General features: G+C 50.1%; 1 protein-coding gene and 1 long non-coding RNA gene across 9 annotated transcripts, besides 4 other annotated features; one reads left to right on the top strand and one right to left on the bottom strand.

Annotated features, from left to right (window-relative positions):
• Nucleotides 1-73: 73 nt before the first annotated feature.
• Nucleotides 74-27,841, bottom strand: HDHD5 (haloacid dehalogenase like hydrolase domain containing 5). Of its 7 annotated transcripts, none has more exons than NM_017829.6 (8): nt 27,763-27,841; nt 12,096-12,299; nt 11,002-11,114; nt 7,578-7,671; nt 5,652-5,685; nt 3,613-3,787; nt 1,104-1,292; nt 74-911 (listed from the first exon to the last, which is right to left on the bottom strand). In NM_017829.6, the coding sequence occupies exons 1-8, from the start codon at nt 27,796-27,798 to the stop codon at nt 575-577; spliced, it is 1,182 nt and encodes a 393-aa protein (NP_060299.4). In that variant the 5' UTR covers nt 27,799-27,841; the 3' UTR covers nt 74-574. The 7 variants fall into 7 exon arrangements, with proteins under 7 accessions (NP_060299.4, NP_149061.1, XP_011544429.1 ...); NM_033070.3 differs by lacking the exon at nt 27,763-27,841 and adding an exon at nt 21,680-21,831; XM_011546127.2 differs by lacking the exon at nt 27,763-27,841 and adding an exon at nt 21,011-21,546.
• Nucleotides 192-899: an enhancer, noted in NCBI's record as "H3K4me1 hESC enhancer chr22:17618528-17619235 (GRCh37/hg19 assembly coordinates)". NCBI's record gives its function as "activates a minimal SCP1, AML or CMV promoter by ChIP-STARR-seq in primed H9 embryonic stem cells {active_cell/tissue: H9 hESC(primed)}" and the evidence as "EXISTENCE:reporter gene assay evidence [ECO:0000049][PMID:30033119]".
• Nucleotides 900-1,606: an enhancer, noted in NCBI's record as "H3K4me1 hESC enhancer chr22:17619236-17619942 (GRCh37/hg19 assembly coordinates)". NCBI's record gives its function as "activates a minimal SCP1, AML or CMV promoter by ChIP-STARR-seq in primed H9 embryonic stem cells {active_cell/tissue: H9 hESC(primed)}" and the evidence as "EXISTENCE:reporter gene assay evidence [ECO:0000049][PMID:30033119]".
• Nucleotides 5,925-6,425: an enhancer, noted in NCBI's record as "H3K4me1 hESC enhancer chr22:17624261-17624761 (GRCh37/hg19 assembly coordinates)". NCBI's record gives its function as "activates a minimal SCP1, AML or CMV promoter by ChIP-STARR-seq in primed H9 embryonic stem cells {active_cell/tissue: H9 hESC(primed)}" and the evidence as "EXISTENCE:reporter gene assay evidence [ECO:0000049][PMID:30033119]".
• Nucleotides 21,513-21,842: a silencer, noted in NCBI's record as "silent region_13434". NCBI's record gives its function as "represses an Ori minimal core promoter by ATAC-STARR-seq in GM12878 lymphoblastoid cells {active_cell/tissue: GM12878}" and the evidence as "EXISTENCE:reporter gene assay evidence [ECO:0000049][PMID:35858748]".
• HDHD5-AS1 (HDHD5 antisense RNA 1) lies at nt 21,943-27,999 on the top strand. 2 transcript variants are annotated; one of them, NR_024483.1, is made up of 2 exons: nt 21,943-22,391; nt 27,823-27,999. It is a non-coding gene; the product is annotated as an HDHD5 antisense RNA 1 (long non-coding RNA). The 2 variants fall into 2 exon arrangements; NR_024482.1 differs by having other exon boundaries at nt 21,943-22,105.
• Nucleotide 28,000: the final 1 nt, after the last annotated feature.

Consider the following 28,000-nt stretch of genomic DNA (forward strand, 5'->3'; position numbering starts at 1 on the left):
GGGCCGCCCACACCACTCACTCCTCCTTTCCCCACAGGACTTTTAGTGCACTCCAGACAGAGCTTCACAAGAGTCAGCATCATGAACATTTATTATGATTATTTTATTTAAAAAAAAAGCCCCACATCTCCGGGCAATAAACTACAATACAGTAAAAAGTAGCATCTGGTGTTAAGACACTCTGCCGACAGGCTGCATGCCTTCAGTGCCGGCAAAGGCTCTGCACAGACATCCACAGTATTCCACACTGCCTCCCCCATTTCAGAAGTCCCTACTGAAATGAGAAGGACACTGAGGCACACAGGGGAAGAGAATGGCCTGAGGTTAGACTGCCACGAAAGGCACGTGGGAACTGGGCCCAGAAAATTCCAACCGTTCCATACAAAATGCTACCCAGCAGGGAAAAAGAGTCACTGTCTTCTTCCAAGTGACCAGTAATGCCACACTCATGGGGCAGCAAGAAGGGTGGCAAGGGAACCAAGCCCTGACCTGAGCCCAGTGATCAGGCCAGAGCCCAGCCAATGGGACTCGCCCACAGGTCCAGGCTCACCCCCTCACCTCCACCGCACTGCCCTCACTCCAAAGCCCAGCCCTCCTTGCGGAAGACCAGCTGCACAGCCTCATTCACGTCATTCACCACGTGGGAGGCCTCCATGAGCCCTGGACTGAAGCATAAGTCTCGGTGCCCGTGGAATGGAGGCTCCCCTCCTCCAAGGACAGGCTCCGTGGACTGTGGGTTCCTGGGATTGTAGACGCCTGTACACACCAGGATGGAGATGCAGCTCTGGCTTGCTGAGGGCTGTTGCTGCCGTGTGCCCCCGGCCCCTAGTTCTGGCGCCCCATCATGCGTTGCCTTCTGCAGGTACTGGTGGAACAGGTTGGCGCCGTATACGTCAGACATAGGGTTATCACTGGCAGGGGCAGCCACACCGGAAAAGGAAAAAGGAGAAAAAACCCTAAATCAATGTTGCAAAGCAAAGGGAGCAGAGAAGAGTTTCGGGGCAGAAGAGTGAATTAGATATAGGGAAATGGGGGTGAGAGTAGAGGAGGAGGGAGAGAAGGGGATGTCATAAAAGGGACAAAGGAGGGAGAGCAGAGCCTACCCCACAGCATAGAGCTTCCGGATGGGGGCGGCCCAGCCCCGCCTCTCCGCCTGTCGCCTGATCAGGTCCTCGGCATACTGGTAAGTGAGGATGCTGGGTTTGCCCATCAGGCCCTCGTATCTCAGCTCCTTGCCCGTCACTTTCTGGTAAATGGTTTCCAGGCACAGCAGAAAGGTGCCATGTCCAAACCTGCCAGAAACGAGCACGCAGCAGTTCAGTCTTCCTGATCTCCAGGCTCTTCTAGAGAACACGACTGCCACTGTCTAAGCAGCAAACACACAGACCAGCCTTTTCCCCAGGGTAAGAGCTGACATGTAGCAGACACTGTGCAGGCACTGGAGGCAGCATTTCACATTTCCCTCTCAGAAAAACTCTATGAGATGACGCTATTTGTAAAACGAGGAAACCAAGGCACAGCAAGATTAAGTAACTTGTTCAAGAGGGCAGAGCTAGGATTACAACTCAGTCTGACTCCAGAGCTTAAATCCTGCTGTAGAGCTGAGGCAGACTACGGTTGCGCTTCTCCCCTTCTTTGCTGGTGTCCATTTTCAGCTGACCATATTGCCACTAGGTGTGAAAAAGACCTTCGCTTGCCTCCCTGCCAGCGAGGCGTGGCCATGTGACTAAGCTACAGTCAAGGAAAGCAGAAATGCTGGGCTAAATTTTCAATAAGCATCCTTAAAATTGGGGACAGGCGGCCAGGCGCAGTGGCTCATGCCTGTAATCTTAGCACTTTGGGAGGCCAAGGCAGGTGGATCACCTGAGGTCAGGAGTTCAAGACCAGTCTGGCCAACATGGTGAAAGCCTGTCTCTACCAAAAATGCAAAAATTAGCTGGGTGTGGTGGCACATGCCTGTAGTCCCAGCTACTTGGGGGGCTGAGGCAGGAGAATCACTTGAACCCGGGAGGCGGAGGTTGCAGCGGGCCAAGATTGCACCACTGCATTCCAGCCTGGGCAAAAGAGCAAGACTCCATCTAAAAAAAAAAAACAAACAAACTGGGGACGGTATTCTTCTCTGCCCTCTCTGCCCTCCCCAACTCCTTCTTGACACCTGGAATGCTGATATGATGGCTGGCGCTTGGGTACAATCTCAGCTCACTGCAACCTCCACCCCCTGGGTTCAAGTGATTCTCCTGCCTCAGCCTCCGAGTAGCTGGGATTACAGGCACCTGCCACCATGCCCGGCTAATTTTTATATTTTTAGTAGAGACGGGGTTTTGCCATGTTGGCCAGGCTGATCTTGAACTGACCTCAGGTGATCCACCCACCTCGGCCTCCCGAAGTGTTGGGATTACAAGCATGAGCCACCACATCTTTCAGTGTCATTTATGTAAATAATTCTACTTTTAATTAGAAAAGTTCATCTAAAATCTGGTTTGTAAATTGAAATCTGCCCCTTGCTTTTCAGTTCACAGAGACATAACCAACCAAGCCCACTGATCTAGTGTCAGCATACCCGCCTCTAGGAATAATACTTCAGAGACAATGCCAAGCCTCGAGCCACAGACATACACTTTAAAAGTGACAAGAGCATACCATACCCCGTCTCTCTGGGACTACTGAGACGGGCCCTGAGGCAGTACTGGGCCGTGCCCACCCTCTGCTGACGAGCACTGTCGACTGGGGGTCAACAGCAGGCTGAGACTCAAGAGACTGGCCATGCAGATAACAGCAACCGAACAGTACACAGCAGCTGTCAGCTGGCCTTCAAGTAAGCACCCTGAGGCCAAAAAAGGGCTGCCTCTATCTGTGCTAGCCCCAGAATAAGACAGGACACATGACACCAACACAGCTGAGCAGGGAGTATAGGCACCTGCATGCCCCTGAGAAAGCCACTTATCTGCTGGGTCTCAGTTCTCTGGTCTATACGACTATCAGAACAATCCTTGGCCGGCATGATGGAGCACGCCTGTAATCCCGGCACTTTTGGAGGCTGAGGCACGGGGGTCACTTGAGGCCAGGAGTTCAAGGCTGCAGTGAGCTATGACTGCACCACTGCACTCCAGCCTGGATGAGAGAGTGAGACACTGTCCCCGCAAAAAAAACAAAACAAACAAAAAACGACAAATCCTTGCTTCCTCCTGCCTTATGTCTGAAGGGTAAAAGGAAACCAGAAAGTCAAAGAACCAATGCTACAGGATGGAGCCAAGGAAGGAAGAGCAACTGAATAATGTGCACAGATACGGTACAAAAAGTGCCCACGGTTTGGGATCCACCAGACACCAAGAGCATGTTCTGTAAAGATTACAGGGGGCAGGGGTCACGTGTGAAACATCCTCTCAATACATCCTCAGACTCCATAATCTGTAGTTTAGGTTTAGTAACTAATATGTGGAGTGGTCCTTGAAAGCCCTTCCAAAGGCCAGGTTACTGCAGCAACAACAGGGCCTACCTAAGTGAGGTCCCGGCACCTGGGGTGTCAGGACGGATGGGAACTGCCTGCAGGACTGCCCAGGCAGCAGCCAGGAATAGACCACCAGGCCAAGGCTGGGAGCTTTGTGTCCTCACCTGGGCATCTTGGCTTCAGCCATCCACAGGAGATCCATGTTGCTGGCTAGGACGGGGAGGTGGGGGTAGGGGGGTGTTGCCAGGCCAGCCCCAGGGCTCCCATTGCTGAGGAGGACATCCATGATCAGCTGCAGGCTGGTCTCCCAGCGGACCGGCTCCCCTAGGAGGAGCACCCCTTTAAAGAACAGAGGCGCAGGTGAGGGCTGCAGGGCAGATGGCAGGCGGCAGGCCCTCAGGATGCCAGCTAGGGCTACCCATCCACAAGCCCTCCACCCATGGTGCACCCAGCTGGGCAGGGGCACAGCTCCCCAACAAGCCCAGTAGAGCCCCTTACCCATCCACCCTGGGTGCACAAGGCCCAGGGCCCAGGAAGGAGATTCCTGAGGGCTCCCATTCTGACTTCAGTCCACCAGTGCTTCACAGAAGAGGTTACAAAACAAAAGCAGCATGTCTCAGGGCTACTTCTCCTTGCTGGCTGGGACTCTGCCACCACATTCTCCCTCACATGACTTAGCAAGGGCTCCTGTTCCCTCAGTCGCTTCTCTCTGAGCCCCAGGGACTGGCAGAACCTAACAGCCAGGACAGGGGGTGTGGAGTGATAGAGACTTGAAACCCAACCTGGACTCCACCGATTCTCCTGTATGACTGTGGCCAAGTAACTTCTCTTCTCTAAGCCTCAGTTTCCTCAACTGCAACTACATAACAGCAACAGCACTTAGCTATTGTGAGGATAAAAATGAGCTACATCATCGGTAAACAGCCCAGGACTAGACACACAGTAAGCACTAGGCAAAGAACACTGCTGACACTAAGGTACAGGGCCGGTGAACTGCACCAGACCAGTGATTCTCCATGGGGCAGCACCGCCCCTGCTGAGGTGCTTTACAAATCAGAGGCAATTTTAGTTGTCACAATGACTAGAACCTAGCAAGTGAAGGTTGTGGGAGGGGGCCAGGGACGCTACATACTCAGGACAATCCTGTGCAATCAAAAACTATCCCACACTAAAATTAATTTTTAAAAAAACCATCCCATGGCTGCGTGCGGTGGCTTGTGTCTGTAATTCCAGCACTTTGGGAGGCCAAGGTGGTAGGATTGCTTGAGCTCAGGAGTTTGAGACCAGCCTGGGCAACATAGTGAGAGCCCGTCTCTACAAAACAACAAGAAGAAAAAGAAAAAACTTTCCCATGTCCTCATAACATTTGAATGTCCCACCTGATATCCTGGTATCCACACAGGTGAACAACCTTTTCAGAATTACTTGAACGATTCTATTTTACATACAATCACAAAGCATTTTTGTACAGCTTCAATAAACATCAATTTTTCCAAAAATACAACTATCGTGTAAGTCAAGAGAAGACTGTACTTTGCCTTTTCAAAACTCTACCAAGAACTGTTACCTATTTTGGAAAATCACTTGACCAACGGCAATGCTGCCCCTAATTTCTGAGTCACCGGTAAAACACGCCTGTCACACCTATAAACACACATCAGCCTGCATTTGTAGCTGTTAACATTCATGGTGATTCTGTTTAGTGCAACCATTTTACTTCTTGGATAACTACTACATACTGAAATACATTATCTTCTTACTAAAAATGTTTCCTTTTATATCCCCCTATTACAGTTAGGGCTTTATACTGAACTAATTTTTAATATGTGTGTACAGAAGTTATATTACCTAAGAATTTCACTTCAGGATAATAAAGGGGATATTCCAATGTTCTTGGTATAAAAAGGGGAGAACTGGGTTTAAAAGTTGAGAAACACTAGACTAGATCACCTCTAGGTGTCTTTCCACCACTAAAATTCTCTAAGCTTACGGTTTTCCTGGAATAGTGAGTGGCATGGGGAAGGAAAGACTAACAACAGTCTCAGAGGTGGTAAGTGGCAGATCCAGACCAGAGCCCAGGTGTCCTGACTCCAAGGCCCCTTGCTGCTGAACCAGGCTGCAGGCAGTCACACTGAGACAGCCTGAGGGCCAGAGAGGAGACGGAGAAAAGACCTCACAACTCATCAAAGAGGACCTCTCTTACCTTCAATGCGGGGGAAGTCATTCCTCGGGAGGGGCTGCAGAGAGACAAAGGAGAGGCTATCAACACAAGTCGCCTTCCACTCCAGGAGAACCACAACCCCACCTCCAGGGTGCTGGGAGGGGAGGGGAGACACACTCCACAGACCCCACACCCGTGGTCAAGCCCAAGCCAAGGGAAAGCTGGAGAGGACTGAGAAAGATGCAAGAAAGGCGAAAAGACAATGGCCAGGTGGGGCCACAGAACAGGCAGGACACCATGGGTGAAGTCACCAGGAGGAAGGGTGGTCAGCTGTCTTTCTCTGGTGGGAGAGGACACAAGATATAGCCAAGCAAGAGTCTAAAATCAGGCAGCTAAGGTGAGGCCGTGGAGACGAAGGCGGCATCACGCCTGATGGGCCATTTCTCCTCATGTCGGTTCTTGAGCAGGCAGCTTCACTCGACCAGCCTCGAGGGTCCACTCCATCCCCAGGCCATGGTAGTCTTGGCTCTGCCACTAAACAACTATGTGACCCGGGACAGGTCACTCCCCTGTGTGGGGCTGTCTCTGAGCTATTCCGAGATCTGTTCCAACTCTGACATTCTGGTTCTCCACAGAACTTGCACAGGTCAGGGAGAAAGCCCTCACAGGGGAGGAAGTGCTCTGTTCCATCAGAAAGCGCTGGAGGAGGAAGGACTTAAGCTATATCAGCAAATAAAAAGTAAGTTATCTGTTTATAACTGCATGTCGTCAAACTGTGAGAATGGTCTGACTCAAGACCTGGGCTATGTGATACACAGACGGTGCGATGAGGAGAAAGTGAGCCAACGGGCACCTCAAGAGATGGCAGTCATGCTGCAGAGGATCACCAAGGGATCAGATGAGTTAGGGGACAAAGTCAGTGCTCAAAAATGAGCCCAGCGCACAGGGCACCTGGGCAGATGTGCAGACTGACCAGTGCTTCCTCTGCAAGCAAGCTACCTCTCCCGAGGGCAGCTCAGTGCCGGGCCTCAGGATTGCTAACTTCACAATGGCCAGCTCTCCTGGGCAGCACTGGGAAGGCCAGCCAGTAAGTCTGGAACTCCTTGTTGGACGGGATGCTGTGGCTCTGAAACGGGTTCCCAGCTAATTATAAGCAATACAGAGAGGACAGGGCATAAAGCCGTTCGCTTCTCTGGGCTTTTTCCTTTTTTTTTTTTGAGACAGGGTCTCACTCAGCCGCCAAGACTGGAGTGCAGTGATCACAGCTCACTGCAGCCTCCAACGCCTGGGCTCAAGCAACCCTCCTGCCTCAGCCTCCTGAGTAGCTGGGACTATAGGCATGCGCCACCATATGTGGCTTTTTTTTTTTTTTTTTTGAGACGGAGTCTCGCTCTGTTGCCCAGGCTGGAGTGCAATGGTGTGATGTCAGCTCACTGCAACCTCTGCCTCCCAGGTTCAAGTTATTCTCCTGCCTCTGCCTCCCGAGTAGCTGGGATTATAGGCATCCATCACTGTGCCCAGCTAATTTTTGTATTTTTAGTAGAGACGGGGTTTCACCATGTTGGCCAGGCTGGTCTGGAACTCCTGACCTCAGGTGATCCACCCGCCTTGGCCTCCCAAAGTGCTGGAATTACAGGTGTGACCCACCATGCCTGGACAATTTTTTAAATTTTTTTGTAGAGACGGGGTCTCACTATGTTGCCCAGGCTGGTCTTGAACTCCTGGGCTCAAACAGTCCTCCTGTTTCAGCCTCCCAAAGCGTTGGGATTACAGGTGTAAGCCACCGCAGCCAGCCTCTGGGCCATTCTCATAAATTCAGGGAACAAAACCCTTAGCCAGATGTGCCTCCAAAGAAGCATGGACAAATCACAGCTCTGCAGGAGGGCTTGCAAGGTCAGCGACACAGCCAATGCAGGGCACTGGAGGAGTGAAGGATGAAGACACAGCCCAACCCATGCTCCTTATTACCGTGGTCTTTAGCCGCCGCTCCAGGTCCACCATGTCAAGCAGAGGAAAGGCCATCCGCAGCTCATCCACGGTGACGACATTTCGGAAGCCCAGTCTGGAGCAAGCTCAGGAAGTAATGCTGGACAGTTCTTGGGGAAGATGCCTTTCTGAATGCATCAAATCACAAGTGAAGGGAACACAACCCACTCCTGATCAAGCCAGGCAGGAGGGCACCAAGCAGAGCCCAGCAAGGATGGCACAAATCCTGCAGGTGCTGGCAGGCAGGCTGTAACTGCACAGGTAGAGTAGAGAGGGCAGCTCCTGGGTAACCCACCAGCAGTCACCAGGCACATGCCAGCTACCAGGTCCTATGCTGGGCACAGCCTAGGGGGCAAAGGCACATAAGAATCTCTGTCCCCAGCTGGGTGCAGTGGCTCATGCCTGAAATCCCAGCACTTTGGGAGGCTGAGGCAGGAGGATGGCTTGAGCCCAGGAGTTCCAGCCAGCATGGGCAACATAGTGAGACCTTGTCTCTACAAATAAAGTCAGCTAGGCATGGTGGTGCACACCTGTCGTCTACTCAGGAGGCTGGGGCAGGAGGATCATTTGAGCCCAGGAGGTCAAGGCTACAGTGAGCTATGATTGCACCACTGCACTCCAACTTGGGCAACAGAGTGTGACCCTGTCTCAAAAAAAAACAAAAAACTCTGTCCCCAAGGAGCTAGCACATTCAGAGCCCATCAAAACCAGTGTTCTCTGAGAACAGTGCTGCTAGTCAGTGCTGAGTTCAGAAGAGACTCCTCAGTGGGCTGGGGAGTCCAGAGGAGTCATGGAGAAGTAGGGCTGGAGCTAAAATCTTAAAGGATGAACCCAAATCATCAAGGAAGAGGCGGCCTTGGGGAGGGGCAAGCCAGCTTCAGCCTATCTCCTCTAAGATCTGCCTCCATTTTCCTATCCTCAATTCCAACTTGCAATCTTAACTGGACATGGTTTGATTACTCTCAAAATGAATTTCCCCAAAATCCTGATTCTATCAGATTGCCCCATCAGCAATAAAGCGTGCCCTGCTTTCCACTGCCCTGAGAAGTCGGTCAGACTCCTCAAGTTTACTTCCAAGGTTCCCGACAACCTGGCACCACCCTTCCTGTTCTTTCCTTCCTCTCCCTATCCCATTCCCAACCTCCTACTTCCCCTGCTTAGGAGCTTAGCCATCTCCTGGGGCTCCGCTGTACCCCTCCAAGAAGCCACAGGCAACTCCTGCCCCAGGGATACTCCAAGCCCTCCCCTCCACACCTGTGGCGCCCTCCTGTGAGCTTACCGGCCTTCAATCACATGCCATCGCACACGCTCCACACCTGTGACGCCCTCCTGTGAGCTTACCGGCCTTCGATCACACGCCATCGCACACGCTCCACACCTGTGGCACACTCCTGTGAGCTTACAGGCCTTCGATCACACGCCATCGCACACGCTCCACACCTGTGGCGCCCTCCTGTGAGCTTACCGGCCTTCAATCACACGTCATCGCACACGCCCCACACCTGTGACGCCCTCCTGTGAGCTTACCGGCCTTCGATCACACGCCATCGCACACGCTCCACACCTGTGGCACACTCCTGTGAGCTTACAGGCCTTCGATCACACGTCATCGCACACGCCCCACACCTGTGACGCCCTCCTGTGAGCTTACCGGCCTTCAATCACACATCATCGCACACGCCCCACACCTGTGACGCCCTCCTGTGAGCTTACCGGCCTTCAATCACACGTCATCGCACACGCCCCACACCTGTGACGCCCTCCTGTGAGCTTACCGGCCTTCGATCACACGCCATCGCACACGCCCCACACCTGTGACGCCCTCCTGTGAGCTTACCGGCCTTCGATCACACGCCATCGCACACGCCCCACACCTGTGACGCCCTCCTGTGAGCTTACCGGCCTTCGATCACACGCCATCGCACACGCCCCACACCTGTGACGCCCTCCTGTGAGCTTACCGGCATTCGATCACACGCCATCGCACACGCCCCACACCTGTGACGCCCTCCTGTGAGCTTACCGGCCTTCGATCACACGTCATCGCACACGCCCCACACCTGTGACGCCCTCCTGTGAGCTTACCGGCCTTCGATCACACGCCATCGCACACGCCCCACACCTGTGACGCCCTCCTGTGAGCTTACCGGCCTTCGATCACACGCCATCGCACACGCCCCACACCTGTGACGCCCTCCTGTGAGCTTACCGGCCTTCGATCACACGCCATCGCACACGCCCCACACCTGTGACGCACTCCTGTGAGCTTACAGGCCTTCGATCACACGCCATCGCACACGCCCCACACCTGTGGCGCACTCCTGTGAGCTTACCGGCCTTCGATCACATGCCATCGCACACGCCCCACACCTGCGACGCCCTCCTGTGAGCTTACCGGCCTTCACATGCCATCGCACACGCTCCACACCTGTGGCACACTCCTGTGAGCTTACCGGCCTTCGATCACACGCCATCGCACACGCCCCACACCTGTGGCACACTCCTGTGAGCTTACCGGCCTTCGATCACACGCCATCGCACACGCCCCACACCTGTGGCGCCCTCCTGTGAGCTTACCGGCCTTCAATCACACGCCATCGCACACGCCCCACACCTGTGGCACACTCCTGTGAGCTCACAGGCCTTCGATCACATGCCATCGCACACGCTCCACACCTGTGGCGCCCTCCTGTGAGCTTACCGGCCTTCGATCACACGCCATCACACACGCCCCACACCTGTGACGCCCTCCTGTGAGCTTACCGGCCTTCGATCACACGCCATCGCACACGCTCCTTTACTGCTCATGGTGTTATTCTTGCCTCCAGCACAAGCCCTTGATTGATTCATAAGTCCTACGCCCTCATCCTGGTCCTCGTCCCATTCAGAGTGTGCGGCAGACCGCTGGTACACAGGACGTGCTCAGCACAACAGTTGCTTAAAACGGGCCAGGTATTATTCCGCAGGCTCCCAGAGACAGGCTCCCGGTAGCTGCTTCACTACCACTGGCTAATAAACTGACTGGGCACCCCAAGGAAGAGGCTAGAGCAGGGGTTCCCAAACCCAGTTACAGAACCACTAAGAGAGGTGTTTTGTTTTTTAAAAAATACAGATTCCTGAGTTTTACCCGAGACCTAGTGAATTAAGGCTCCAGCGCAGATACCCTGGGATCTGTATTTTAAGCTCCCCAGAGGATTCTGATGCAGGGGTATGAGAACTGGCTTTTGGAAACCACCAGACATGAGGACTGACCACAGTCGGGAGCTGTCCTCCCTCCCCTGAGCCCACAACATCGCCTGTGTACCCCAGCACCCAGCACTCCTCACTACAGTCCCCACTCAGCTAAGGGAGGAAACACCTCAGCCCTGCCCCTTCCCTTCAGCCAGAGTTAAGACCAAAAGGATACCCCTGGGCATTTTCCATCACGGGCCCCTGTCCAGACACCAGCATCCGCTTCTCATGGTACTCGGAGAAGAGCTTCATGGGGCTGTGAGAGAGGATAACTTGGTCTGCATCCACCTGTAGGGACAGCCAAGACAGGGGAGGGCAGAGGAAGACAGAACTGTTGAGGGAAATAATGAGACAGGTGGCAGGTCCTTTAGCCTAGGGAAGGAAAAAACCCGCTCAGAAAAAGAACGGGGAGGAAAGCCCTTTCTAGCACCCAGCAGCACTTCTGAAAGGCACCCAAACAGATCTGAGAAGAACCTGTCTCATTTAGTTCTTGCCACACAAGAGACCAGAAATGCCACAGATGTGGGTTCTGACCACTTGCCACCGCTACCCCGTCAGGTTCAGTTTGGATTTCCCAAGCCCCCACTTGGAAGCCATAGGGTTCATGTGTGCTCCCTGTCACTGTCGCAGAAACTGGTCTTTTACTTTCTATTTTCATTCCTGCTAAGAGTTAGCTGCTTAACATTTATACTAACCCTAACAATGCAGCCTTTACTTGGAAGGTTTTTGGAATTCTCTCTGGAAATCACAGCAAGGAACCAATTTGATTCCGTCACATTTTACATGCAACTTTGAGCAGCATCATCTAATCAATCAGCTATTTTATTTACTCTCCTGGTTCCAAAGGACTCTTTCCAAAAGCTGAATTCACCCTCAACAAACAAGAATGCATCAAAGTTGGGATATGGTGCAGGGCTGCAGGTGGCTGAGGAGGACAGCACTCCTTCAGGTGCACACATCATACCCAGGAAAGCCAAGGTGTGACGCCAGAGCCACACCTGCTATTCCTGCTATGCAAGTTCTAGACATGTGTGTGACCTTTGCTTTCCAGGGACTCACACCCCCAATGCCCAGAAGAAAAGAAACAGATACAAGGACATAATCTACAACTGCCAAATACACAGGCAGGATTTCTGTGTTCAGCTGTGGCCATGACCTAGGACTAGGTGATTCCATATCCCAACCCAGGGGAAAGGGACTTGGAGCTGGGGCAGCGGCTCCATTAGGAACCAGGTCCTTGGGCTTCCATGCCTCTGGCTGCCTTCTCACCTCGCACCCCAGCAGGGCTGACAGCTCCTGGGCTTTGCTGTGTTGTAAGATGTTCCCAGCATTTGTAACAAAAACCACGGGCACCCGCAGCTGCCCCTGGGAGTTCACCAGCCTTCGGAAGGCTTTCAGAGCAGCAGGGATCACTCTGTGGCCCCGCACAAGCACTCCATCGATGTCCAACAGGAACCCAAAGGTGGGTGGGCTCTGCAGAGATGGTAAGATAATTACCAGTACGTGAGTAACAAAGAAACAACCCTTACAAAGAGAGGCTCAACACCATCCTCGGGTCACTCATGTCCCTTGAAAACCTATGTCAGAAAGAACAAAAAAATGAAGATGGGATTCTGATAGGGCAATCTTTAAATAGAAAATAGAGAAATCCAAAGAAAATATAATCCCAACACTTATTTTTAATCATTCGCTTTTACAGAGTCTTCCCGTTGCCCAGACTGGAGTACAGTGGCATGATCACGGCTCACTGCAGCCTTGACCCACTGGGCTCAAGGGATCCTCTCGCCTCAGCTTCCTAAATTTAATGCTAGGATTATTAGGCGTGAGCCACCGAGTCCAGCCTAATCCCAACACTTTAAAACAACCAATTAATAGTTCCCCTTTTTTCTCTATTCTCATATTTGTCTTGTAGCTACAAATGAACTATATGCCATTTTACATCATCTCGTTCTTTTTTGCTTGACATATCATAAATATTTTTATGGATTACAATAGTCTTTATAACCATCTTTTAAGATTTTATTATAGCAAAAAGTTAAAAACAAAATAACCTCAATCACTACAGACAATATAAAAATGTTTCAAAAGTTTCTTGTCTCCAACTTACTTAGTCCTATTCCTGTCCTGCATAATTTCCAGAAGGCTTTTATAAATCTATAGTATACACACCTTTCTAATGTTAACACACACATAGAATCATGTTGACTTTGTTTTCCATCTTACTTTTTTAGTTGGTATCTCTTGGCTGTCTTTTTTTTTTTTTTGAGACAGAGTCTTGCTCTGTCGCCGAGACTGGAGTGCAGCAGCGTTATCTCAGCTCACCGCAACCTCTGCCTCCCACGTTCAAGTGATTCTTCTGCCTCACTCTCCCGAATAGCTGGGATTACAGGTGCACCCCACCATGCCCACCTAATATTTGTATTTTTAGTGGAGACGAGGTTATGCCATGTTGACCAGGCTGGTCTTGAACTCCTGACCTTAGGTGATTCACCCACCTTGGCCTCTCAAAGTGCTAGGATTACAGGCTTGAGCCACTGCACCCTGCCCTATCATTCCATATTAATTATGCATAGCTCTATTTCCTAAACATCATTTCTGGCTACATACTATTCTGAGTGAATAATTCACTAATATTGTTCTCTATATTTTGGACAGTTAGGTTTTTCCACAATTTTGCTATGAAAAATAATGCTACAAGGAACCTCTTCAGGAATACTGATTTTTTTCCCATATTATGGGTATTTCCTTGAGCTAGATTCTTAAAAATAGGAGTAATAAATCAGAGAGAGCAAATGTAATTACATAAACACCAACTGACAAACTGCTGTTCAAAAACATGTCCACTGGCAACGTACTTTACCCTTACAATATTGATTTTCACAACTGTTAATTATCAAACTTTTTTATAATTTAAAGGTAAAAAAATTATCTCTTTTCTATCTGCATTTCCTGGATTTATAAAGCTGAATGCTGTTTTTAAAAATCATTCCATTTCTCATTTTATAAACTGCCTGTTAACATACAAGATGTTCTTCAATCATCAAAAAAACCTAACCTAACTTGTTTGCTATTTTTCTTTGTTGGTGCCAACTAGGTCAAGTCATTCTTACTGACACACCTACTCTACGCACAGAGCTCCCTTTATAGAGCAACCAGAAACAGAAATGGCGCTACAGGCCAGGTGTGGTGGCTCACGCCTGTAATCCCAGCACTTTGGGAGGCTCAAGAGGGTGGATCACTTGAGGTCAGGAGTTCAAGACCAGCCTGGCCAACATGGTGAAACCTCGCCTCTACTAAAAATACAAAAATTAGCTGGGTGTGGTGGTGGGCGCCTGTCATCCCAGCTACTCGGGAGGCTGAGGCAGGAGAATCACTTGAACCTGGGAGGCAGAGGATGCAGTGAGCCGGGATCGTGCCACTGCACTTAAGCCTGGGCGACAAAGCTAGACTCTACTAAAAAAAAAAAAAAAAAAAAAAAAAGAAGAAGAAAGAAAGAAGAGAAGAGAAGAGAAAAGGCGCTCCAGTACCTACTTTTTAGCTAAGGTGACAGAGCAAGCAACCAGCCTAGAAAGCAAACTCTAAAACAGCAGCATTTTTGCAAGTGCAAATCAATTCTAGGTAAGTTCTAAATAAATAAACAGAATTAAACAAAGGCAGTTTCTTCAAAGAGAATTTTGAGCCAGACAATGAAAGTGTTAAATACATCCTGTAACAAAACTCTTTGCACCCCCCAGTCACCCCCAGACTAGATGAGTGGTTCCTGCCTGCCTACCTGGTTCAATGAGAAGACAATTAGACAGGCAGCCCCAGGACAGTCTACAGGGAGCCTTGCACTAAGAGATAGGCCCACACCAGAGGAACCTGACCCACAGGGGTGGGGAAGATTGGCCATCACAGGTCTCCGAGGCCAATTTAAGGAGTTTGAAAATGGAAAGTGGTATCATCAGACCTGAACTATAGAAAAAAATTTGGCTGCAGAGAAAAGACTGCATTGGGTGGACTGAAGGGAGTTAACTGAAAGACCAGGTGGGACCAAATGCAACCCAAGACAGAGAAGATGGAGCATTTACCTGGGAGAGTGGTGGTAAGAATGGAGATCAGGGGGCATTATCAGAGACAGAACAGTCATGACTTGGTAACCATCCAGATACAGGGGTGGAGGGAAGAGGGAGCCACACGGACTCCCATGCTTTTTTATTTTGGTCTGGGAACCCGGGAGGGTGGATGCGGGTATGAGTCACTGAACCAAAGGGCACAGTAGGAGCGGGCAGCGAGAGGTCATTGGAGGATACAAGGTTAAGTCCCACTTTGGACCTGGGAGACAGGCAAGTGGAGACATCAGCACTGGACAGGTCCTGGAGATGAAAATTTTGGAAGGTCTCGCCTCTCAGAGAACCAGGAAGAACAATACTACTTAATAATGGACCACACAAGACCTGCCAGCAAAAGACAGTGCAAGGAGGAAAACCAAGAGCGTGTGGGGTCCAGGAAGCTGAGGTATGTCTCGGGTCCAGTAAAACAGGGACTGGAGTGGCTGTAATGATCCCATCTTCTTTCCACTGAACAGGCAAGACCCCCGGGAGAGGCAATCTTCCAGCTCCTCCTCCATGTTAGCTTGTACATGAGCCCTCCAAGCTTGGACAATGACAGCTACAGAGCCAAGCAGGAGGAGGGCAGGGACCCTGGAAAAACAGGAGGAAGCAACTCGAGCCAACAAGATATCACACCTGAACACCAAAAAACAGCTGCCAAGAGAAAACTGACCAAGCCCCACACGCCACACAGGAAATGCCTGGACAAATGGTGCCTCTAACCCTTGGCTTCACAGGCTTATGCTGTTGCACCCAGACCTGTCACTGTCCCAAGCACTCAGCCAGACATGTAACAAAGGCATTTTTATGTATTCTTTTTGGCAGCCCTTTGAGGAAGTGTCAGCATCTCCAAATGGCCTTGCCTGGCAAAATGTGCCGGTTTATACAAGGTGTTCAATATACAGGCACTAAATTACCTGACTGGACAAATAAGGCATCAACCTCAAAAAGAACTCAGCAAGGGTCACCCAGTTCACAAGTGCTGGATTCAGGATTCAGTCTCAAATTCAGCTGGCAACTCGGCAGCACCTCAGAGAAAACAGGGGACCCCAGGACTGCTTCCCCCACCTCCTGCCAGCTCCCAGCTGTGAGTTCCATTTCTTCTCTCTCCTCAATACACTCATGTACCCTCAAGGATCCCTGGAGCCCCTCCCTATTCCCCAAGAAATCTCACTAGAATGGGGGTCCTAACCTAGGCCCACAGATAGATTTCAGGATGGCCATAAATCCCCTTTAAACACTACAAGCATTTTTCCTGGGAAAAGTAACCATAGCACTTTTCGGATTTCATTTTCTTATTCTTCTCAAGGAGAATCACTACCTGGGCTTAAAGGGAGGAGGGGATGTGATTTGCCCTTTACCCCCATACCTGACACAGTGCTTAGACTCACAGGTGATTGACAAAGGCTGACTGGATGCTGAATGACCCAAAGGATAAATGGTTAGGGAGAAATAGATACTTCCCGACCACCCTATCCCTTTCTGAAGGAAAAGAGTGGCTCTTAGAAAGTAAGTCCCTTAAGGACTGGGTGATTCCAACACTTTTTTGTGGCGTGATCTTGGCTCACCGCAACCTCCATCACCTGGGCTCAAGCGATCCTCCCACCTCAGCCTCCCAAGTAGCTGGGACTATAGGTGCGCACCACCAAACCCACCTAATTTTTGTATTTGGCAGAGATGCGGTTTCCCCAGGTTAGTCTTGTCTCAAAGCTGGTCTCCAACTCCCAACCTCAGGCAATCTGCCCACCTCGGCCTCCCAAAGTGCTGGGATTACAGGCGTGAGCCACCGCGCCCAGCCAACAATTTTTTTAAGAAACAGTGTTTCTTTAAGAAACTTGGCTGGGCACAGTAGCTCACGCCTGTAATCCCAGCACTTTGGCAGGCCGAGGTGGGCAGATCGCCTGAGGTTGGGAGTTCGAGACCAGCCTGACCAACACGGAGAAACCCTGTCTCTATTAAAAATACAAAATTAGCTGGGCGTGGTGGCACATGCCTGTAATCCCAGCTACTCGGAAGGCTGAGGCAGAATTGCTTGAACTCGGGAGATGGTGTTTGCAGTAAGCCAAGATCACATCGTTGCACTCCAGCCTGGGCAACAAGAGGGAAACTCCATCTCAAAAAATAAATAAATAAAAACAAAAAATAAATAAATAAATTTTTAAAAGGCCTAGATTTTAAGTGATATTAAGGAATTACTAATGTTGTTAGGTATGATACTGGCATCGTGGTTATGTTCAGAATGTCCTTATTTTCTTTTTTTTTTTTTTTTGGTTGAGACAAGACAGGGTCGCACTCTGTCACCAAGGCTGGGTGCACTAGTGTCATCTCAGCTCACTGCAACCTCAACCTCCTGAGCTCAAAGGATCCTCCTGCTTCAGCTTCCCAAGTAGCTGGGACTACAAGTATGTGCCACCACATGCCTGGCTAATTTTTTTTTTTTTTTCTTTTGTAGAGACAGGGTCTCCCTATGTTGCCCAGGCTGGTCTGGAACTCCTGGGCTCAAGTAATCCTTCCAACTCCCAAAGTGCTCAGATTACAGGTGTGAGCCATGGCACCCAGCCAGAATGTCCTTATTTTTCTTAGAGGTACACACAGAAGAATTTAGGTTTGAAATGACAAGAAATCAGAGATTTACTTTAAAATCTTAGAGCCACAAAAAAAGGAGGAGGGAGATAAGCAAAGCAGGTGTTGAAAAATGTTAATCATTGCTCAATCTGGGAGATGGGCACAGGGGTTCATATTATTCCCCATTTTTGAATTTTTGAAAACTTACATAGTTAAAAAACAGCTCATTTGTACAATGGTTGCAAAATTTACCATACATAGTTTTAACGGTCATTGCCTAAACAGTCACAAGATTTGCTTTCCTTTTTTTTTTTTTTTTGTTTGGTTGGTTTTTTTTGAGACGGAGTCTCACTGTCACCCAGGCTGGAGTGCAGTGGTGCAATCTCGACTCACTACAACCTCTGCCTCCTGGGTTCAAGTGATTCTCCTGCCTCAGCCTCCCAAGTAGCTGGGACTACAGACGCGCGCCAACACACCTGGCTTATTTTTTATATTTTTAGTAGAGACGGGGTTTCACCATATTGGCCAGGCTGGTCTCAAACTCCTGACCTCGTGATCCGCCCGTCGCGGCCTCCCAAAGTGCTGGGATTACAGGCATGACCCACCGCGCCCGGCCCAAGATCTGCTTTCTTAAAAATAAGAATCCATAGCCCCTGCTACTTAGAACAGCAAAGTTTTCAGGAAAATTGAGCAATATCCATAAGGCTCCCTCACCCATCACTCCAACCCCTCCCCAACCTTCAGGATGTACACAGAGAACCAGGCACCCAGTACCATAAAAAGTGAAGGTGTACATCAATTATAACAAATGTACCACACTAATGCAAGATGGTAATACAGTCACGCACCATAACGATGTTTCAGTCAATGACACACTGCATATACAATGGTCCCTTAAGATTATAATGGAACAGGAACTCATAGCTGAAGAAGAGGCAAGAGAAAAGGTAGCCACAGAAAGAAAAGAACATCCAAGAAAATTCACAGTGAAGGGTTCAGCAGCTTTTACAGACCTCAAGTTCCTTAAAAAGTCTGAAACATGAACTCCAACGCCAAAAGGTTTTCATTACTAGAGAAGAATGTTTATGGTACATTATCTGTTTACAAGCAAACCTATGACAAAAAAAAAGAAACCAAGCAAACCACAATGGACATATTTCTGATAAGAGTGACACCTCAAGAGCCTCAGAGAGGTCCTTCAGAAGATATCCAGAAGAAAGCACTGTTATCGCAGATGACAGTTCCATGCATATGACTGCCCCCTAAAGACCTTCTAATGGGACATGGTGTGAAGGCAGAAGACAGTGATATCAATTACCTGACCCGACCTTATGTAGGCCTGGGCTAGTAGGTGTTTGTGTCTTCATTTTTAACAAAAGTTAAAAAAAAAAATTTTTTTTAAGGTAGGGCACTGTGGCTCACGCCTGTAATCCCAGCACTCTGGGAGGCCAAGGCGGGCGTATCATGAGGTCAGGAGTTCGAGACCAGTCTGGCCAACATGGTGAAACCCCATCTCTACCAAAGATACAAAAAATTAGCCGGGCGTGGTGGTGCACACCTGTAATTTTTTTTAATAGAAAAAAGCTGCCTGTAATCCCAGCATGTTGCAAGGCCAAGGAGGGCAGATCACGAGGTTAGGAGATCGAGACCATCTTGGCTAACACAGTGAAACCCCATCTCTACTAAAAATCCAAAAAATTAGCCAGGCGTGGTGGCAGGCACCTATACTCCCAGTTACTCCGGAGGCTGAGGCAGGAGAATGATGTGAACCCAGGAGGCAGAGCTTGCAGTGAGCCGAGACCACGCCACTCCACTCCAGCCTGGGCAACAGAGCGAGCGAGACTCCGTCTCAAAAAAAAAAAAAAAGCTGGCTGGGCACGGTGGCTCATGCTTCTAATCCCAATACTTTGGGAAACCAAGGCAGGCGGATCATGAGGTCAGGAGTTCGAGACCAGCCTGGCCAACACAGTGAAACCCCGTCTCTACTAAAAATACAAAAATTAGCTGGGCGTGGTGGCAGGCGCCTGTAATCCCACGTACTTGGGAGGCTGAGGCAGGCGAATCACTTGAACCTGGGAGGCAGAGGTTGCAGTGGACCGAGATGGCGCCACTGCACTCCAGCCCGGGCAACAGAGCTAGACACCGTCTCACACACATACACACACACACACACACACACACACACAAAAGAAAAAAGCTATGGAACAATGATATAAATGAAGATATATTTAGTACAGCTGTACAATGTGTTGTGTTTTAAACTAAGTGCTATTACAAAAGAGTAAAAAATTTTAAAAATTAAAAACTTGGTAAAGCAAGAAAGTTAAACTAAGGTTAATTTTCTTTTTTTTTTTTTTTGATAAGAGTCAGGATCTGTTGCCCGGGCTGGAGTGCAATGGCCCGATCTCCGCTCACCGCAACCTCCCTCCCAGGTTCAAGGGCTTCTCCTGCCTCAGCCTCCCGAGTAGCTGGGATTACAAGTAATAGATCCATTACATAGATGGGGAAACTGAGCTTGGAAAGCTATGTAAATTGCCTTAAGTGAAGCCGCTAACAGACTGCACAGGATTCAATTCTAAAGCTCGTGCTCAAACTCTGTCATCCTGCATTCTTCTTTTTCTGCTCTACCGGAAGAGTCACTTGGAGACATTTCGGGACTCTGCAGAGATGCTAGAGCCAATACAACAGTTATAAATAAGGGCGATATTTCCTTATATTTATATCCTGACAGTTTGTAAGTCCTTTTATCAACATATTCTAATTTCAAACTTCCACCTTGGTCACGTCTAGCTATGTGACACTGGCCAAGTCACTCAGCTGCTTTGAACCTTAGCTGCTCCATATTTAAAAATCATAAAAATAATACAGCTGTTAAGAGCTTAGACTCTGGCACCAGACTACCTGAGTTCCAGATTCTGCCACTTACCAGCTGTGTGCCCTTGGGTAAGCTGCTTAACCTCTCTGTGCCTCTGCTCCATCTATAAAATGGGAAGACTAATAATAGTACTTTCCTCGGAGTTGTTATAAAGATTATACGAATAACTGTGAAGTACTTAGAATAGTGCCTGGCACAAAGTAAGCACTATGTGTTTTTTTCATGCAAGTAATTTGGCCGGGTGCACTGGCTCATGCCTGTAATCTCACCACTCTGGGAGGCCAAGATGTGAGGATCATCTGAGGTCAAAAGTTCGAGACCAGCCTGGCCAACATGGTGAAACCCTGTCTCTACTAAAAATACAAAAATTAGCCGGATGTGGTGGCGGGTGCCTGTAATCCCAGCTACTCGGGAGGCTGAGACAGAAGAATCGCTTGAACCCGGGAGGCGGAGGTTGCAGTGAGCAGAGATTGCGCCACTGCACTCCAACCTGGTGACAGAGATGCCGTCTAAAAAAAAAAAATGCAAGGATTACTGTGAAATCCGTATGTTAATGTAAAATATTACTTGTGCGTTTAGAAGACAAAGTGATTCCTTTTTCCAGAAAAGGCAAAACGGCCCAAGGGAGCGTGAGAGCCGTGGATCTGACCAACCTGGTTTAGTGTCCTGTGCCGTCTCCCAGCTGCAGGACCTGAGAAAACGTACTTGAAAACTCGTCAAGCTTCGGCTTCCTGACCACACAAGGTCACACCTTCTCAGAAGTTGCGGGGAGGCTCACACATCACTACCGCGCCGGGCACACAGCAGGCGCCGGCTCCAGCCCTCCTGCTCCCGCCCGCGGAGCCTCCAGCGCTCAGTCGAGGTCACAGCGAGCTGAACTGAACCCAAGGCCCGCACCAAACCCACAGGCACTTGGGGGCGGAGCACCCGCAGGCGCGGCTCCCGGCGCGCGGCCCAGTTTCCTCCACATGCAGATGAAAATCACGACCCAAACGTCCTCATGGTGGAAATCAGAAGACGCGCAGGGAAAACAGGGACGCGGAAACTGCCGGGAAGCGCAGGGGCTGACAAGCAGCCTGGCCCAGGCCGTCCCACGAGCGCTCTCCCGCGGGAGTAGCGTTTCCGAGGCCGCCAGCGAGTCAGAGGAAGGCAGGGCGCATCCGCCCTCCAGCAAGAACGCGATGCACTCGGGCGCGACGACGGTCCAGGCAGTTCCCAGGAGGCTGGGATACCAGCCCGGCCGCCCCTCCTTCCCCGCGGCTCCCCGCCCCGCCTCCGGCCCTGAGTGGCGAGTGGCTCGGCCAGAACCCGGACGTCCTCACCTGAGCGGGGCCCACAGCATAGCACCTGCGGGCGGGGCGGCCCTGGAGCCCCGCAGCCGCGCGCGCCGCCCGCCAGCAAAGCCCACGCGCCGCGCCGAGCGCAGCCACACAGCCCCACGCAGCCATCCGGCCGTCGCCGTGCGCACGTGCACGGCGTGCGGCCCCCCCCCCCCGCGAGTCCGTCCGCTGCACAGCCAATCAGCGGTCGGCGCGCGCGGCATCACGGGAGTTGTAGTCCTGTAAGCGCGCGGAGCCCGTCGGGCGCCTATGGAACTCGACCCGCAGGCCAAAGGGGCTCCGTTGCAAGGAAGAAGTGCGGGGTCCCGCCGCCTCCTAGACCGAGATCGCGGTGAGCTGGCCGCGGCGCACAATGGGCACGGCCTGGGCGGCGGCGTCCGTACTATCGCCCTGTGCCTGCGGATCCCGGTAACATTGCGCGGCAGGCCCCAGGCCGGCCTCCCTCAGCTTCGCGGACTGTCTGGGCCGGGGGTCTCAACCTTGACTTCAGGGCCGGGCCGCTGGGGCAGACCCTTAGTGATGTTCAGGTCCTCTGGGCCCCTGCCAGTCAAGGGACGCTCGTCGCGCGCCAATTGTTAAGTCTTTCATTGTTTCTGTAAACCTGCTGACGCCCTCCCAGCGCATAGGGAGACTGCGCACGTGAGTCCGCCCCCGCGCGCACTGCGGAGAGGTAGAGGCACGAATGTAGTACAAGGTACAAAATGACTACTCCAGAGAGGGCCAGATGACTAAGTCAGCAAACACTTAGGGAACACGACTGTGTCCGCTGCGCGTTTCCCGGAGTAGACACAAGGGTGAATGAACAAAGAATGGATTTCGGTCACTGAAAGTGGAGAGGTAGCCGACTCCGTCCGTGGAGGCCCTTAGCAGAGCTGGATCTGGTAGTCCCCCGGTCATGAGGGGAGATTCTGCTGGAGGAAAGAGGTCTCCATTCCCACCGTTTGAAATGTGTAGGATGCCCTCAGATTCTTTGGCCCATTCATAGGTATAGCTATGCTAAAAACGCGGGACCCTACAATGTACTTAGCACTAGCAGAGAGGGAGTCGAGGATATGGACAGAGACTGCACTAGCTCACACATTAGCAGGCCAGGGTGCGGTGGCTCACCCCTGTAATCCCAGAACTTTGGAAGGTCAAGGTGGGAGGAAAACTTGAGTCCAGGAGTTCCAGACCAGCCTGGGCAACATAGGGAGACCCCTTCTCTATTTTAAAAATAATAAAATAGGGCCGGGTGCGGTGGCTCACACCTGTAATCCCAGCACTTTGGGAGACTGAGGCGAGTGGATCAGGAGGTCAGGGGTTCAAGACCACCTAGCCAAGATGGTGAAACCCCGTCTCTGCTGAAAACTGCAAAAATTAGCCAGGCGCGGTGGCAGGCGCCTCAAGTCCCAGCTACTCGGGAGGCTGAGGCAGGAGAATCGCTTGAACCCAGGCAGCAGAAGTTGCAGTGAGCCGAGATTGCGCCAATGCACTCCAGCCTGGGTGACGGAGTGAGACTCCGTCTTGAAAAAAAAAAAAATAATAATAATAATAATAAAATGAAGAAGTAGTTAGCGGTGTCCTTTGGTCCTCAGCTTTGAAGGGCAAGATCTTAATTCAGTTCAACTACAGCTAATCAGAATTTGGAAGACTAATTCAAGTCAGTCAAACTCACAATAGCCCGACACTTAAACCCTGCCAGGGGACATAGCTCTCTAGGATTGCAATGTTCCTAATCCCTTCCTTCTATTAAACTACCTAGAAACTGATTTAGTCATTAGAAATTTCTTGGTATGATGGCTTTTAAACATGCCCACAGTTTTTTTTGACAATCGGCTCCTCAAAAGCATAGCCAGGCGCGGTGGCTCACACCTGTAATCCCAGCACTTTGGGAGGCCAAGTCAGGCGGATCATCTGAGATCAGGAGTTCAAGACCAGCCTGGCCAACATGGCGAAACCCGTCTCTACTAAAAATACAAAAATTAGCTCGTCATGCACCTGTAATCCCAGCTACTTGGGAAGCTGAGGCAGGAGAATCGCTTGAACCTGGGAGGTGGAGGTTGCAGTGAGCTGAGAGCGTGCCACTGTACTCGAGCCTGGGCAACAGAGTGAGACTCTATCTCAAAAAAAAAAAAAAAAGAAAGAAGAAAAAAAGGCCGGTCACAGTGGCTCATGCCTGTAATCCCAGCACTTTGGGAGGCCGAGGTAGGTGGATCATCTGAGGTCAGGAGTTCGTGACCAGCCTGGCCAACATGGTGAAACTCTGTCTCTACTAAAAATACAAAAATTAGCCAGGCATGGTGGTGTGTGCCTGTAATCCCAGCTACTTGGGAGGCTGAGGCAGGAGAATCACTTGAACCTGGGAAGCAGAGGTTGCAGAGAGCTGAGCTGAGATTGAGCCACTGCACTCCAGCCTGAGCGACAGAGCGGAACTATGTCTCCAAAAAAAAAAAAAGCTGGAGTTGGGTGGGTATGGTGGTTCATGCCTGTAATCCCAACACTTGGGAAGCCGAGGCAGGTGGATCACTTGAGTCCAGGAATGCCAGACCAGCCTGGGCAACGTGACAAAACCTTGTCTCCACAAAATATATATATAAAAAAAAAATTAGCCAGGCATAGTGACACACACCTGTAGTCCCAGCTATTCTAGGAGGCTAAGGTGGGAGGATCGCTTGAGCTCAGGAGGCAGAGGTTGCAGTGAGCCAAGATTGTGCCACTACAGCCTGAGCAACAGAGTGAGACTCTGTCTCAAAAAAAAAAAAAGAAAAAAAAAAAACCTGGAGTCTAATTCTAATTCCCCTCCCATTGAGTGTGGGCTGGACTTCACTGACTTTTTAATAAATAACATGGGACAGAAGTGAGTGTAGTTGATTTCCAAGGCTAGGTCATAAAAGATACTGTGACTTCCACCTTGCCCTCATTTAGATAACTCATTCTAGGAAAGCTAGACGCATAGTAGAGTTGTCATGTGGTGAGGCCATTCAAGCAGCCCTATAGAAAGGCCCACATGGTGAGGATCTGAGGCATCCTACCAGTAGTCAGGAGAGAGAATCTTCTTGGAGGTGGAGCTTCCATTCCTGGCGGAACCCTTGACCAAAACCTCATGAACCACCCTGAGGCAAAACCACCCAGCTAAGTCACTCCTGAATTCCTAACCCTCAGAAACAGGGAGATACTGAAGGTTTGTTGTTTTAAGTCATTACACTTTGGGATAATTCGTTATACAGCAAAAGATAACTAATATTCTTGGTGATCAGGACTGTGTCATACTTAGTGTTATTAATCTTCAGGAGTTTCAGCCTAAGTCAGCAGTGTTCCCCACATGGGCCTGCCTTGCTTTCATTCTTCCTCCATTGTGGACTGAATGCCATAAGACCATTCCAGCCCATCCAAAGCAGGAACCAGAAATGGGCTGGGTTTTGCTGTTGTTTTAGTTGGTTTGGTTTGTTTGTCTGTTTGTTTCGGGGAAAGATGACAGAAGGTGCACTGTGGGAGATTCCAACATGATTATTGAATCAAAGACTGTGTGTGTACGTGATAAGTCTTTATTAGATTCTCTGGGTTCATAAGCCAGTAAAAGGTAAGAACCATCCTCTAAGGAGAAATCTCACAGCTAAGGCTTGCCATGTTAAAGAGTTTGCACTTCCAGGAACAAGGGCACTCACGTCTACCCTGTGCTATTCTAGGTGTCTTCCCATCCTGCCGGATGCACGGAGCACATATTCTGCCACCCCTAGCTCTATCCTTTGGGCAGTGCTGAATAAACACTAACAAACTCAGGCTCTGTGGCTGACATTGTAAGCAGAACCCCTGCCCTGCTGTTGCTTAACGCATCTTTATTTTGATTCCCAGTCATGTTACGACACAATCACATTAAGATGTTCTTTCGTATTCAGGTTCAGAATATTTGCTCTGCTCACTTGATTGAATTTGGAGACTTCCCAAATCTTTATATGAGCACGTCTTCTGAGTTTATCCAGATTATGTTTTGTACCGTCTGTTGTACAAATGGACCGTGGATGTTAATTAGAAGGGCCTCGCCAGTCTTCAATCACATGTTACTCGTGGGGTTTGTTAAATCAGCTTTTGTCTCAGAGAGGGCTTCGGTGCTTGGATTACACTATATTTGGAATTTGTAGCCTTCTATGCGCTGACTTGCCCCACCTTGCTACCTGGCTTCAGAGGTCCAGGATTCTCTAACTTGAGCATCCATCAGAATCACCTGGAGGTCTCCTAAAAACCCAGATTGATGGCGCTCCCTTTGGAGTTTGGATGTGCATATCTGATCAGCTCCCCAGGATGCTCATGCTGCTGACCCACTTTAGGAAGCTCTCCTTTAGGAGTTAGCATGTCTCTGAGCAGACGCTGGACCAGTATGTTCTGGAGACCATACACTTCCCATCCCAGAACAGATGCTGCTCCCTGTTCTCTATCCCCAGCCCCCAGCCACACCTATATGACCACAGTTCTGTTCAACTGGTGCCCCAGCACTGATATCTGTGGGCCCTGCTCATCTCAAGTGAGCCACATTTTTCTCCCAGGCCTGCCTTGCTTTCGGTCATCCTCAGTTGTGGCCCAAACCCCATAAAACAGCAGCCATTCCTGGCAGGAATCCGAGGTGAGCCAGTTCTTTTCAGGAAAGGTAGCAGAACAGAAGATACACTGTGGGAAGTTCCGGCCTCACACGTGTACAAGCTCGATGCCCTGGACTCTAAGCTGCTTGAGGGCAGTGTCTCTCTGATTCACCTGTCTCCCTCACAGTCCTGTCATGCAGGATGCCTTGCACATGATGGGTGCTCAGTTTACATTAATAGGCAGGTGAGGCCAGGCACGGTGGCCTGTAATCCCAGCACTTTGGGAGGTGGAGGCGGGCAGATCACCTGAGGTCAGGAGTTCGAGACCAGCCTGGCCAACAAGGTGAAACCACGTCTCTACTAAAAATCCGAAAATTAGCTGGGCATGGTGGCACGCATCTGTAATCCCAGCTACTCGGTAGTCCGAGGCTGGGGAATCGCTTGAATCCGGGAGATGGAGGTTGCAGTGAGCTGAGACCGTGCCACTGCACTCCAGCCTAGGCGACAGAGTGAGACTCCATCTCAGAAAAAAAAAAAAAAAAAAAAAAGCAATAGGTGAATGACTGTTCATACTCCTACTTTCTCCACAAACTTGCACAAATGTGTCTGCATCTAGATGTCTGTAAACCTGCTAACACCCACACACATTTTCTATTAGTTAGGATTAGGTTTGGCTGTAAGACACAGAAACCTCCAAAGAGCAGTGGCTTAGATAAGAAAGAAATGTGTTTCTCTCACATAAACGAAGTAGTTGGGAGAGAACAACACAGCCTTGGTATTGTGGTTCCACAAACTTGTTAGGTACCCAGGCTCCTATTTTGCTCCCTCACGGCCTTCACTGCACAGCTGCCACTTCATGGTCTAAGATAGCTGCTCAGGCTCCAGCCCTTATGTTCACATTCCAGCCACCAGGAAAGAGACAAAAAGGGGTATCCCATTTCCCTACAGGTGCACTTCCAAGGAGTCTCTTATACCACTTCTGCTTACACCTCATTGGCCAAAACTTAACCACATGGTCATGCCTAGCAGCAAAGAAGGCTAGAAAATATAGCCTTATGACTGGCTAAAAGTCATGGTTGCTTTTCCACATGAGAAGGAATAAAGGATAAAAGGAGGGAAACTGGCATATCCTACCTCACACCAGTAGGAGGCAGACGAAAGAAAAGAGAAGTTGGTTCCCAGTACAGGAATGGCAGGGAAGCTGTGGCTGGAAGAACAGGGGTGGAGGATGGCCAACAGGCCACAGAGAGATGGGCAGGTCCCCCTGGCTGGGGTCAGGAAGGGCTTGCAGGAGGGTTTACTGCTCACTGTCTCTCTCTCTTTCTATCTCTCTCCATCTCTCTCATCACACACATACACACTCAGTCTTGCTGAGGGAGAATTCTGAGAAGGTGGAGTTCTCTGTAGGGAAGGGATACATATTTCCTACTAGTCATGTTTCCCTGAAAATGGGACTTCTGTTAATAATACTCCTGGCCTCTCTCTACCTGGGGAAGAGGAAACGTGAGTTACCTGAGAGAAGCTGGGAAGAAAGAACCAAGCATACATGATTTAGTCCCCTCTCCTCTTTAGGAGCCAGCTGGTCCACCAGAAGTCTGTGTTCTGCCTGTCCCTGCAGCACGGAGGGCTGGGCTTTATACCTGTGCCAAGGACACCAACGGCAGCATCAGCAAGTCCGTGTTGTCTCCCAAATAAGTGGTGTTCTCCAACAAGCTTTTAGCAGTAATAAAGCTGACATTTTTATTCTCAT

Source organism: Homo sapiens, chromosome 22, assembly GCF_000001405.40.
Source record: "Homo sapiens chromosome 22, GRCh38.p14 Primary Assembly".
NCBI classification, from domain to species: domain Eukaryota; kingdom Metazoa; phylum Chordata; class Mammalia; order Primates; family Hominidae; genus Homo; species Homo sapiens.

What these genes read in the sequence shown, in the direction of transcription:
- HDHD5 (NM_033070.3), bottom strand. Translation starts at nt 21,805, where the DNA reads ATGGCTGCGTGGGGCTGTGTGGCTGCGCTCGGCGCGGCGCGTGGGCTT. An exon ending in TGACTTCCCCCGCATTGAAG is followed by an intron (nt 3,788 to 5,651) that starts GTAAGAGAGGTC and finishes TGTTCTTTAAAG; the next exon opens with GGGTGCTCCTCCTAGGGGAG. An exon ending in CGGAAGCTCTATGCTGTGGG is followed by an intron (nt 912 to 1,103) that starts GTAGGCTCTGCT and finishes TGCCCCTGCCAG; the next exon opens with TGATAACCCTATGTCTGACG.